The 14078-nt window shown below is 39.5% G+C and overlaps 1 protein-coding gene across 1 annotated transcript in view, besides 2 other annotated features; it reads right to left on the reverse strand.

Moving 5' to 3' along the window:
• SAMTOR (S-adenosylmethionine sensor upstream of mTORC1) overlaps positions 1-14078 on the reverse strand; it is a 120729-nt gene that overhangs the window by 90603 nt on the left and 16048 nt on the right. Inside the window, exon 2 of the mRNA NM_152556.3 lies at positions 5557-5698. Within this exon, the coding sequence (NP_689769.2) occupies positions 5557-5698 (142 nt within the window). The remainder of the gene's footprint in view (positions 1-5556; positions 5699-14078) is intronic.
• Positions 6727-7228: an enhancer, noted in NCBI's record as "H3K4me1 hESC enhancer chr7:112556531-112557032 (GRCh37/hg19 assembly coordinates)". NCBI's record gives its function as "activates a minimal SCP1, AML or CMV promoter by ChIP-STARR-seq in naive H9 embryonic stem cells {active_cell/tissue: H9 hESC(naive)}" and the evidence as "EXISTENCE:reporter gene assay evidence [ECO:0000049][PMID:30033119]".
• Positions 7229-7728: an enhancer, noted in NCBI's record as "H3K4me1 hESC enhancer chr7:112557033-112557532 (GRCh37/hg19 assembly coordinates)". NCBI's record gives its function as "activates a minimal SCP1, AML or CMV promoter by ChIP-STARR-seq in naive H9 embryonic stem cells {active_cell/tissue: H9 hESC(naive)}" and the evidence as "EXISTENCE:reporter gene assay evidence [ECO:0000049][PMID:30033119]".

The raw sequence follows: 14078 nt of genomic DNA on the forward strand, positions 1-14078 counted from the left end.
TAAGTTAAGCAAAAATAAATATAAATATAAAACAAAGTTGTTAAGCAAAAATCTTATAATATTAAACTGGAGTGGAAAATATCAATTAGGAATTTGATTGAATATTTATATATAACACTATATAATATTATATTATATATTTTTCTAATTCTCTTTACCAAAAAGATGCAGAATAAAGCACACCCTGTGCACATCTAGTATCCACATGTTACTTTTCAAATGCCATTTCCCACTAAATGAAACTAGGACTCCCTGAAGAAACAGTCTGATGCCAGGTCTCGACGAGGGGAAGCAAAGACTCATCTTTGTACTACAGAGCAAGAAAGTGCTCACAGGTGACGTAAAACACAGAAGTAAACTTTGACTGGGCTCCTGCTGCCTAATATGAAATTATTTGAACACCCCACCCCCCAAAAAAAGACTAATAATGAAAAATGGAATAAATAAAAATCCAAGATGTTACTGTGACAGTCCAAAAAAATAAACCCCACAACCCCGTTGTCCTAACTGTAATTGACTATTATACCAATTGCTTTCGTGAAAATTGGTAATTAAACAGAATTACATATTTTTTAATCTGATTTTCTGGATAACATGTAATCATCATTCACCATTTATAAAGGAAAATTCTTTTATTTACAAAAGAATGCCAGCTAATAAATGTCAAGAAATAATACAATTTTAAAAATAATTGTTTTGTAACCCCAAATATTATTTAATAAATGGAAGTAAAACTGTTTGTTGAAAGACTGTTAGGAAAGAGGATTGATCCACAAGCCAAAATATCACTGTACATATTACTTAATTATAAAGGGATAACATAAGTTTACAATGGAAAGATTGAGTAGATACCACCTTAACCAAATGATAACATTTAGTATCTCTAATGGCGGTACACCTCACAACAAAAACCTACTAATATGACACAAAATGATGTATGAAGCTTCATCTAATAGATATTTTTGCAAAAATATCTGACCTGAATCAATCCTTTAGACCCAACTTTCAGTTTACAGGAAATAAATGAGATTGAGGAAATAAATAATTGGTACCATGAGAAAACAATCAGATAATCCTGCATGTAGAACACAAAACTAGTTTGGAATTAGGATACAGATTATCAGAACAGCTCATATGATACAATTTAAAAAACAACGTATTAAAAAGAAATCATGAGAGATGAGAATGCAAAGGGGTCTAAAGGAAATAAATTACAGACAAGCACAAGTCCTTCCAAAATGAGAAGGGATCACAGGCACTGGGGAATTTGCTGAAATGGTACCTGGGCTGCAGAGAATCAAGCCTTCCAGGGTAGAAATACTCTGCTGGATTAAAGGGAAATGGCAGAGCTTTTAACAACTGCTTGGCTGTGTGACAGATTGATATCTTTAAGAAACTCAAATGTAGAGATAATTCTCCCCATTCTCCTCCTGATTCCCTCCACAGGTCTATTTATGAGTATGTGAAGGCAGCAACAGCACTGGTGGCTGCGAGTGGAACTAAAAAGCAGAAAAACATTAGGCTTATGTCCTGCAAGAGAGTTGCACCTGTAATACTCACAGAACAGGATTCATTCACTATCAAAGCACTTGAGACCAGAAGTGAATTGAAACCACCTAAAGAGGTCATCCAGCTCCAATACAGCTCAACTCCTGATGGTATCAAAGTGTTCAGTCTTTCATTCTAGCTGCCTTTCAGAGCAAAAAAAGCATGTCTCTCTGGAGAAAAAGGGTATTTATGCCAATCTCTTCTAAACACAATGCCAGTATAAAAACAGAATTATCACACATAAAGCAGGAAAAAATGACCCATAACCAAAAGAAAAAATAGCCAAAAGAAACAGACCCACAGATAAGACATGTTAGAATAAGCAGACAAAAACTTTAAAATAACTATTTTAAATTTATTTTTTTAAAATAGAGAAAAAGACAACCCAAATGGACAAAAACAGAGAACTTCAACAGAAAAATTAAATCTCTAAAAAGCCAAGTAACTATTATAGAAAAACTGGGAAAAATGGTATCTTAAAAACATCTTTACTGGTTAATGATAGATAAAAAAGCCAAGAAAGAAAAATCAGTAAAGATATATAGAATACTTGAACAACACTATTAACCAGCTTGAACCAACAATTGCAAAATGCAGAATGTGGGATATTCTACAAATTAACTGACATTTGTCTAAAAACTCAATGTTATGAAACAAACAAACAAAAAAACCAAGAACCTAAAGAATTGTAACCACCAAATGCAATGTATGAGACTTGATTGGATTTAGAAAAAAATACATATATATATAAATTTTAAAATATATTTTGAAGACAGAAAAATCTGAACTTATGAACTAAGTATTTTAGAAAATTAGATTACTGTTAACTGTCTTAATATGATGACGGTGTTGTGGTTATGTAGAAAAATTTCCTAATTCTTAGGAGATGTGTGCTAATAGATTTAGGGATAAAATGTAATGTTATCTGTAATTTACCTTCAAATAGTTCAGGAAATAGTGTGTTTATAGTATATATTTCTCTGTATTTAAAGAGCTAAAAAAGGCAAATTCCTTTATTGAAGGTATAGCTATACCTGTATATTGCATTTTTTTCTCTGGCTTTTAATGATTCATATTACATATAAAATTTTATTATTCTGTCCTTGGCAGGATAATGTCAGTAAGGCTTACCTCATATAACATATTCCCATAAGTTTTAAGTATAACAAGAAGCAAACTTTTGTCCAACCCTTTTTAAAGCCCACTTTAGCTTTCAAACTGACATGCTTTTAGAATTATCAAAAAGAGAAAAAAACTGCATATAGCTCATAATTATATATAACTCAAGTTTCAAAACACAATATTGTTTCAAAGTCTTTTCCCCAAACCTAGTTTTATGTTTAAAGATGTTACATAACTTCTCTTAGTATTACTTCTGATAGTAAAAAAAAAAATAAAGAAATTTAACCATATCTTGCCACTGTTCTTTTTTTAACAGTATGACCTAAATTCCTAATGATTTTTCATCAGTTTACATAAAAAATGACCTCATGTGATAATATAACGATTGATAAAACAAAAATCCAAGGAAAAAGGAAGAAGACTGAAGTTTGAGGCAGATTCATTGTTCAAGTAGAAGGTGAAAGCAATTGCTCCAATAAGAATACTACCTATCAAAGTTCATTTAAGAGATACAGTTTGAGGGCCTGCCTGCTGTACTGTAATAGTAATTTAAAAGCACTACGCTAAAATCCAACAATGATGGTCTTAAACAGCAATAGTACTGATTTCCTGACTTTCTGTTACAGGGGAACTATTTGGTTCAGTAGTATGCCTCATTTTGTGTTTCTTAACTTGAGGGAGAAAATGTATATTCTGTAAAACAGTCAGATTTATAACCATCTTCTCTCTAGAAATGCAAATAAAAACATTTAACCCCAACCATCCCATCTCCTATTATTTTGGCACCTTTCTTTAGTTCCTTAACTCCATTATTCTTTGACTCCACAATCCACTGATGGTACCACTTTCTAACTATACCTTATATTTTCAATTCCCTTACATATCATAATCACTAAAATGTGTGCCCCATCACCTCCCTGGCTCCTCTGAGTCATTACACTTATTTGAGCATTAATCCTAGTACACTGTCCTGTCAACTCACTATCTCATTCACCAACTGTTTAACTATAATTTCGTGCCATGATTATTGAAGTAGTTTTCTAACTGGGTTCCCTTACTGACACCCTTGCCCTTCCTATAGTCTGTTCTTAACACAGAAATTAATTCTTAAGAATTCTTGACATCTTGCAAAAGGTTAATAAAATCCTGTCACTTCTTTTGTCAAAACAGCCATATGACTTCCCATGTCAGAGTAAAAATCAATGTCTTAAAATGGCCCACAAGACCCTACAAAATCTAGCTGTTCATTGCCTTATTTTCTACCTCTCTCCCTCTGTCATTTTGCTCTGGCCACACTGGTCTCCTGGCTGTTTCTGAAACATGCCAGCATGCCTCTTCTTCAAGGTCTTCAGACTTGGTAGGGCTGGCTTACTGTCTCATTTCCTTTATATCATTGGCACACATCACAACAGTGAAACCCTCTTCCCCTACCTTACTTAAAATTGTTTTAGTTTTCCTTGCTTTATTTTTCTCATGGTGCTCACCACTGTCTGCACTAGTGTAAATTTAACCAACATATTGTTTCCGGCCACTCACCCCAACTAGCACGTAAGCTCTATGAGAGCAAGGATTTTGTGAGTTTTATTGTACTCCTAGTGCCTATAATATGACTGGTACAAAGTAGACAATCACTAAATATTATTTATTAAATAAAAGAACTAAGTTAAATACATATTTTTCTCTGAATTATTTGTTGAATGAATGAAATATGCATTATTACAGTTTTAAAATGAGATGTAAAAATTTTTGAATAAAAATGGAAAGAAAATGTAAACCAGAAGTTATCATAAACTTACTGTCCATGAGAAAGACAATGCTTTATTTTTGGGAATTCATGTTTATTTATTTAGCCTCTAGTTTTTTTTTTTTTTTTTTGGTCCAGGGTTACTTTTGCAGGTTTGTTATATAGGTAAATTGCACGTCACAGGGGTTTGGTATATAGATTATTTCACCACCGGGGCAATAAGCATAGTACCCAATCGGGAGTTTTTCAGGGAATTCATGTTTAAGTTTAGTCAATATACTTATCCTTTCTTATAATTTTACCACATTAAGAGAACTAGTATAAGCATTATTTCATTTTCTGATATTTTTAGCATTAGAATCAATATCATGAGAAAATAAACATTATCCAAAGTCAATATAAATGCTGGAATACCCTGAACCGTACATCAAAAATTCAAGATTTAAAAAATTTTAAGATGTTTTAAGACTTTATAGAACTCACTTTTACTTGAATCTAAATAATTATCTAAAGAAATTTTTATACCATAATTTATTAATGAGTCAAGTATTAAATCATTATATTTAAATGTATTGTATGTATTAAATGCATTTAAAGCCATATTTTTTAAAAGTTAAAACAAAACAAGTGTGTCAAAAGCATTTTTATTTAAAAAGGTGAATGAAACAGACCTAGGGAAAGTGAAGCAAAAGGGAGAAAAGTTGTTTTAAAAGACATGATCTCTTTCACAGTATTTCTGGTATTCTATTTTGGCACTATGAATTATACACAGCATCACTTAGATTTAAGAGTTTTGGCCAGGTGCGGTGGCTCACGTCTGTAATCCAAGCACTTTGGGAGGCTGAGGCGGGCAGGTCACGAGGTCAGGAGTTTGAGACCAGCCTGGCCAAGATGGTGAAACCCCATCTCTACTAAAAATACAAAAATAGCTGGGCACAGTGGTGGGTGCCTATAATCCCAGCTACTTGGGAGGCTGAGGCAGAAGAACTGATTGAACCCGGGAGGTGGAGGTTGCAGTGAGCCGAGATCACGCCATGCACTCCAGCCTGGGTGACAGAGCAAGACTCCGTCTCAGGAAAAAAAAAAAAGAAGTTACAACAATACATTTGAAACCAAAAACGTTAATTCATAAAAGTACTTACCTACAACACCATTCAATACGACCTTCGCCCTCACAAGTTTTTGCCCAATGATTATCTGCCAAATTTTTCATTGCAACGGCATATTCACAAAGAGTTTCTTCATCCTCACAGTGTTCTCGCCAGATCTTATCAAAATCTCCCACTAAAAACAAAGTGATAAATGAATTAAGTTTACACTGAAACATGTCAGACTCTTGAAATAAGTTTTAGCACAATCTGAAATTATTTAAAGATAAATACAAGCAAAATTATAAAGTAAAACCATAAAATTTTAAACATTTAAAATGTTTAAATAAATGTTTACACATTTAAATAAATACATTTAAATAAAAATAAAAATGTTTAAATAAAAGTTCCTTTATGTAAAGGGATGCATCATTTTAATTATTTTTAATAAATAAATGAATGATAACAGATTTGTGAAGCTGGAAAAATTGACAACATATACGCAGATACTGTATATATGAGTTATCAGTTAATAATCCAAAGACATGCTGGTAAGAAACAATTACAGCTGAGTACTCAAGAATTAATTTTCCTGTTACTGTTGGGCAATATAACTTTGCAGGAGCTGAGTACAAACACTAAACCTGCTTCTTGACTGTTATTTTCTTGTGTCTCTATTGACTGTTATCTTCTTGTATTTCTACATTTATTAAAAAGGGGTTGGTAGGTAAGATGACAATGTAAATTAAGCAATGAAGTAAATATTTCTATTTACACACTTGGACTTGCTCTAGGCATAATGTAGTTTAAAAATTTATAATTCTAGGTCAAAAAAGTCAAAAACTGCCTTGAAGGAAATTACTTTGGAAGCCTCTCCAAAGTTTGTAAGCCTTAAAAAATGTCCTATATAAAAACTATAAGCTGACTACATTATCCATTCAGCTACTACCTTTTATTTAAATAAAATTAAATCAGTCATCACAATATGAAATTGAAAACATCACTGTGATGACTAATAAAGGTAGGAGAATGCTATTGCTAAATAAAGGACATTAATGCAACTGTAATGGTAATAGAGTAAACAAAATTTACAGGGTAGTTTCATTCACTGTCCTTGGACATAGGAGTTAGGTTCTTACACCCCATAAGGAAATGTAGGCCATTAATTGGGGACAGAATAAACTTAAAACTATAAATAGAGGGGGTTGGAGCCAAGATGGCCGAACAGGAACAGCTCCGGTCTACAGCTCCCAGCGTGACTGAAGCAGAAGACAGGTGATTTCTGCATTTCCATCTGAGGTACCGGGTTCATCTCACTGGGGAGTGCCAGACAGTGGGTGCAGGACGGTGGGTGCAGTGCACCGTGTGGGAGCCGAAGTGGGGCGAGGCACTGCCTCACTTGGGAAGCGCAAGGGGTCAGGGAGTTCCCTTTCCTAGTCAAAGAAAGGGGTGACGGATGGCACCTGGAAAATCGGGTCACTCCCACCCTAATACTGCGCTTTTCCGACGGGCTTGGGAAACGGCGCAACAGGAGATTATATCCCACACCTGACTCGGAGGGTCCTACGCCCACAGAGTCTCGCTGATTGCTAGCACAGCAGTCTGAGATCAAACTGCAAGGCGGCAGCGAGACTGGGGGAGGGGCGCCCGCCATTGCCCAGGCTTGCTTAGGTAAACAAAGCAGCAGGGAAGCTCGAACTGGGTGGAGCCCACCACAGCTCAAGGAGGCCTGCCTGCCTGCCTCTGTAGGCTCCACCTCTGGGGGCAGGGCACAGACAAACAAAAAGACAGCAGTAACCTCTGCAGACTTAAATGTCCCTGTCTGACGGCTTTGAAGAAGAGAGCAGTGGTTCTCCCAGCACGCAGCTGGAGATCTGAGAACAGGCAGACTGCCTCCTCAAGTGGGTCCCTGACCCCTGACCCCCGAGCAGCCTACCTGGGAGGCACCCCCCAGTAGGGGCAGACTGACACCTCACACGGCCGGGTACTCCTCTGAGACAAAACTTCCAGAGGAACGATCAGACAGCAGCATTCGCGGTTCACGAAAATCTGCTGGTCTGCAGCCACCGCTGCTCCAGGCAAACAGGGTCTGGAGTGGACCTCTGGCAAACTCCAACAGACCTGCAGCTGAGGGTCCTGTCTGTTAGAAAGAAAACTAACAAACAGAAAGGACATCCACACCAAAAACCCATCTGTACATCACCATCATCACAGACCAAAAGTAGATAAAACCACAAAGATGGGGAAAAAACAGAGCAGAAAAACTGGAAACTCTAAAAAGCAGAGCGCCTCTCCTCCTCCAAAGGAATGCAGTTCCTCACCAGCAACGGAATAAAGCTTGGCAGAGAATGACTTTGACAAGCTGAGAGAAGAAGGCTTCAGACGATCAAACTACTCCGAGCTAAAGGAGAAAATTCAAACCAAAGGCAAAGAAGTTAAAAACTTTGAAAAAAATTTAGACAAATGTATAACTAGAATAACCAATACAGAGAAGTGCTTAAAGGAGCTGATGGAGCTGAAAGCCAAGGCTCGAGAACTACGTGAAGAATGCAGAAGCCTCAGGAGCTGATGCGATCAACTGGAAGAAAGGGTATCAGTGATGGAAGATGAAATGAATGAAATGAAGCGAGAAGGGAAGTTTAGAGAAAAAAGAATAAAAAGAAATGAACAAAGCCTCCAAGAAATATGAGACTATGTGAAAAGACCAAATCTATGTCTGATTGGTGTACCTGAAAGTGATGGGGAGAATGGAACCAAGTTGGAAAACACTCTGCAGGATATATCCAGGAGAACTTCCCCAATCTAGCAAGGCAGGCCAACGTTCAGATTCAGGAAATACAGAGAACGCCACAAAGATACTCCTAAAGAAGAGCAACTCCAAGACACATAGTTGTCAGATTCGCCAAAGTTGAAATGAAGGAAAAAATGTTAAAGGCAGCCAGAGAGAAAGGTCGGGTTACCCACAAAGGGAAGCCCATCAGACTAACAGCGGATCTCTCGGCAGAAACTCTACAAGCCAGAAGAGAGTGGGGGCCTATATTCAACATTCTTAAAGAAAAGAATTTTCAACCCAGAATTTCATATGCAGCCAAACTAAGCTTCATAAGTGAAGGAGAAATAAAATACTTTACAGACAAGCAAATGCTGAGAGATTTTGTCACCATCAGGCCTGCCCTAAAAGAGCTCCTGAAGGAAGCACTAAACATGGAAAGGAACAACCACTACCAGCCACTGCAAAATCATGCCAAATTGTAAAGACCCTCAAGGCTAGGAAGAAACTGCATCAACTAACGAGCAAAATAACCAGCTAACATCATAATGACGGGATCAAATTCACACATAACAATATCAACTTTAAATGTAAATGGACTAAATGCTCCAATTAAAAGACACAGACTGGCAAATTGGATAAAGAGTCAAGACCCATCAGTGTGCTGTATTCAGGAAACCCATCTCACGTGCAGAGACACACATAGGCTCAAAATAAAGGGATGGAGGAAGATCTACCAAGCAAATGGAAAACTAAAAAAGGCAGCAGGTGCAATCCTAGTCTCTGATAAAACAGACTTTAAACCAACAAAGATCAAAAGAGACAAAGAAGGCCATTACATAATGGTAAAGGGATGAATTCAACAAGAAGAGCTAACTGTCCTAAATGTATATGCACCCAAGACAGGAGCACCCAGATTCATAAAGCAAGTCCTGAGTGACCTACAAAGAGACTTAGACTCCCACACAATAATAATGGGAGACTTTAACACCCCACTGTCAACATTAAACAGATCAACGAGACAGAAAGTTAACAAAGGTATCCAGGAACTGAACTCAGCTCTGCACCAAGTGGACCTAATAGACATCTACAGAACTCTCCACCCCAAATCAACAGAATATACATTTTTTTCAGCACCACACCACACCTATTCCAAAATTGACCACATACTTGGAAGTAAAGCTCTCCTCAGCAAATGTAAAAGAACAGAAATTACAACAAACTGTCTCTCAGAGCACAGTGCAATCAAACTAGAACTCAGGATTAAGAAACTCACTCAAAACCACTCAACTACATGGAAACTGAACAACCTGCTCCTGAATGACTACTGGGTACATAATGAAATGAAGGCAGAAATAAAGATGTTCTTTGAAACCAACGAGAACAAAGATACAACATACCAGAATCTCTGGGACACATTCAAAGCAGTGTGTAGAGGGAAATTTATAGCACTAAATGCCCACAAGAGAAAGCAGGAAAGATCCAAAATTGACACCCTAACATCACAATTAAAAGAACTAGAAAAGCTAGAGCAAACACATTCAAAAGCTAGCAGAAGGCAAGAAATAACTAAAATCAGAGCAGAACTGAAGAAAATAGAGACACAAAAAACCCTTCAAAAAATTAATGAATCCAGGAGCTGGTTTTTTGAAAGGATCAACAAAATTGATAGACCGCTAGCAAGACTAATAAAGAAGAAAAGAGAGAAGAATCAAATAGACGCAATAAAAAATGATAAAGGGGATATCACCACCGATCCCACAGAAATACAAACTACCATGAGAGAATACTACAAACACCTCTACGCAAATAAACTAGAAAATCTAGAAGAAATGGATAAATTCCTGGACACATACACCCTCCCAAGACTAAACCAGGAAGAAGTTGAAACTCCAAATAGACCAATAACAGGCTCTGAAATTGTGGCAATAATCAATAGCTTACCAACCAAAAAGAGTCCAGGACCAGATGGATTCACAGCCGAATTCTACCAGAGGTACAAGGAGGAACTGGTACCATTCCTTCTGAAACTATTCCAATCAACAGAAAAAGAGGGAATCCTCCCTAACTCATTTTATGAGGCCAGCATCATCCTGATACCAAAGACTGGCAGAGACACAACCAAAAAAGAGAATTTTAGACCAATATCCTTGATGAACATTGATGCAAAAATCCTCAATAAAATACTGGCAAACTGAATCCAGCAGTGCATCAAAAAGCTTATCCGCCATGATCAAGTGGGCTTCATCCCTGGGATGCAAGGCTGGTTCAATACACGCAAATCAATAAATGTAATCCAGCATATAAACAGAGCCAAAGACAAAAACCACATGATTATCTCAATAGATGCAGAAAAGGCCTTTGACAAAATTCAACAACCCTTCATGCTAAAAACTCTCAATAAATTAGGTATTGATGGGACATATCTCAAAATAATAAGAGCTATCTATGACAAACCCACAGCCAATATCATACTGAATGGGCAAAAACTGGAAGCATTCCCTTTGAAAACTGGCACAAGACAGGGATGCCCTCTCTCACCACTCTTATTCAACATAGTGTTGGAAGTTCTGGCCAGGGCAATTAGGCAGGAGAAGGAAATAAAGGGTATTCAATTAGGAAAAGAGGAAGTCAAATTGTCCCTGTTTGCAGATGACATGATTGTATATCTAGAAAACCCCACTGTCTCAGCCCAAAATCTCCTTAAGCTGATAAGCAACTTCCGCAAAGTCTCAGGATACAAAATCAATGTACAAAAATCACAAGCATTCTTATACACCAATAACAGACAAACAGCCAAATCATGAGTGAACTCCCATTCACAATTGCTTCAAAGAGAATAAAATACCTAGGAATCCAACTTACAAGGGACATGAAGGACCTCTTCAAGGAGAACTACAAACCACTGCTCAAGGAAATAAAAGAGGATACAAACAAATGGAAGAACATTCCATGCTCATGGATAGGAAGAATCAATATGGTGAAAATGGCCATATTGCCCAAGGTAATTTATAGATTCAATGCCATCCCCATCAAGCTACCAATGACTTCCTTCACAGAATTGGAAAAAACTACTTTAAAGTTCATATGGAACCAAAAAAGAGCCCGCATCACCAAGTCAACCCTAAGCCAAAAGAACAAAGCTGGAGGCATCACGCTACCTGACTTCAAACTATACTACAAGGCTACAGTAACCAAAACAGCATGGTAATGGTACCAAAACAGAGATATAGATCAATGGAACAGAACAGACGCCTCAGAAATAACGCCGCATATCTACAACTATCTGATCTTTGACAAACCTGACAAAAACAAGCAATGGGGAAAGGATTCCCTATTTAATAAATGGTGCTGGGAAAACTGGCTAGCCATATGTAGAAAGCTGAAACTGGATCCCTTCCTTACACCTTATACAAAAATTAATTCAAGATGGATTAAAGACTTAAACGTTAGACCTAAAACCATAAAAACCCTAAAAGAAAACCTAGGCATTACCATTCAGGACATAGGCATGGGCAAGGACTTCATGTCTAAAACACCAAAAGCAATGGCAACAAAAGCCAAAATTGACAAATGGGATCTAATTAAACTAAAGAGCTTCTGCACAGCAAAAGAAACTACCATCAGAGTGAACAGGCAACCTACAAAATGGAAGAAAATTTTCGCAACCTACTCATCTGACAAAGGGCTAATATCCAGAATCTACAATGAACTCAAACAAATTTACAAGAAAAAAACAAACAACCCCATCAACAAGGACATTAACAGACACTTCTCAAAAGAAGACATTTATGCAGCCAAAAAACACATGAAAAAATGCTCACCATCACTGGCCATCAGAGAAATGCAAATCAAAACCACAATGAGATACCATCTCACACCACTTAGAATGGTTATCATTAAAAAGTCAGGAAAGCCCCTCCCCCTCTCCCTCTCCCTCTCCCTCTCCCGCTCCCGCTCCCCACGGTCTCCCTCTGATGCCGAGCCGAAGCTGGACTGTACTGCTGCCATCTCGGCTCACTGCAACCTCCCTGCCTGATTCTCCTGCATCAGCCTGCCGAGTGCCTGCGATTACAGGCGCGCGCCGCCACGCCTGACTGGTTTTCGTATTTTTTTGGTGGAGACGGGGTTTCGCTGTGTTGGCCGGGCTGGTCTCCAGCTCCTAACCGCGAGTGATCCGTCAGCCTCGGCCTCCCGAGGTGCCGGGATTGCAGACGGAGTCTCATTCACTCAGTGCTCAATGGTGCCCAGGCTGGAGTGCAGTGGCATGATCTCGGCTTGCTACAACCTCCACCTCCCAGCTGCCTGCCTTGGCCTCCCAAAGTGCCGAGATTGCAGCCTCTGCCCAGCCGCCACCCTGTCTGGGAAGTGAGGAGCGTCTCTGCCTGGCCGCCCATCGTCTGGGATGTGAGGAGCCCCTCTGCCTGGCTGCTCAGTCTGGAAAGTGAGGAGCGTCTCTGCCCGGCCGCCATCCCATCTAGGAAGTGAGGAGCGCCTCTTCCCGGCCGCCATCCCATCTAGGAAGTGAGGAGTGTCTCTACCCAGCCGCCCATCGTCTGAGATGTGGGGAGCGCCTCTGCCCCGCCGCCCCGTCTGGGATGTGAGGAGCACCTCTGCCCGGCCATGACCCCATCTGGGAGGTGAGGAGCGTCTCTGCCCGGCCGCCCCGTCTGAGAAGTGAGGAGCCCCTCCGCCCGGCAGCCGCCCTGTCTGAGAAGTGAGGAGCCCCTCCACCTGGCAGCCACCCTGTCTGGGAGGGAGGTGGGGGTCAGCCCCCGCCAGGCCAGCCGCCCCGTCCGGGAGGGAGGTGGGGGGTCAGACCCCCGCCCGGCCAGCCACCCCGTCCGGGAGGGAGGTGGGGGGGTCAGCCCCCCCCCCCCGGGCCAGCCGCCCCATCCGTCCCTACTGGGAAGTGAGGAGCCCCTCTGCCCGGCCACCACCCCATCTGGGAGGTGTACCCAACAGCTCACTGAGAACAGGCCATGATGACAATAGCGGTTTTGTGGAATAGAAAAGGGGGAAAGGTGGGGAAAAGATTGAGAAATCGGATGGTTGCTATGTCTGTGTAGAAAGAAGTAGACATGGGAGACTTTTCATTTTGTTCTGTACTAAGAAAAATTCTTCTGCCTTGGGATCCTGTTGATCTATGACCTTACCCCTAACCCTGTGCTCTCTGAAACATGTGCTGTGTCCACTCAGGGTTAAATGGATTAAGGGCGGTGCAAGATGTGCTTTGTTAAACAGATGCTTGAAGGCAGCATGCTCCTTAAGAGTCATCACCACTCCCTAATCTCAAGTACCCAGGGACACAAACACTGCGGAAGGCTGCAGGGTCCTCTGCCTAGGAAAACCAGAGACCTTTGTTCACTTGTTTATCTGCTGACCTTCCCTCCACTATTGTCCTATGACCCTGCCAAATCCCCCTCTGGGAGAAACACCCAAGAATGATCAATAAAAAATAAATAAATAAATAAATAAATACTCAAAAACAAAAAATAAAAAAAAATTAAGTCAGGAAACAACAGGTGCTGGAGAGGATGTGGAGAAATAGGAACACTTTTACACTATTGGTGGGACTGTAAACTAGTTCAACCATTGTGGAAGTCAGTGTGGTGATTCCTCAGGGATCTAGAACTAGAAATACCATTTGACCCAGCCATCCCATTACTGGGTATATACCCAAAGGACTATAAATCATGCTGCTATAAAGACACATGCACACGTATGTTTATTGCGGCACTATTCACAATAGCAAAGACTTGGAACCAACCCAAATGTCCAACAATGACAGACTGGATTAAGAAAA

The sequence above is a fragment of the Homo sapiens genome, chromosome 7 (genome assembly GCF_000001405.40).
Source record: "Homo sapiens chromosome 7, GRCh38.p14 Primary Assembly".
NCBI lineage: Eukaryota > Metazoa > Chordata > Mammalia > Primates > Hominidae > Homo > Homo sapiens.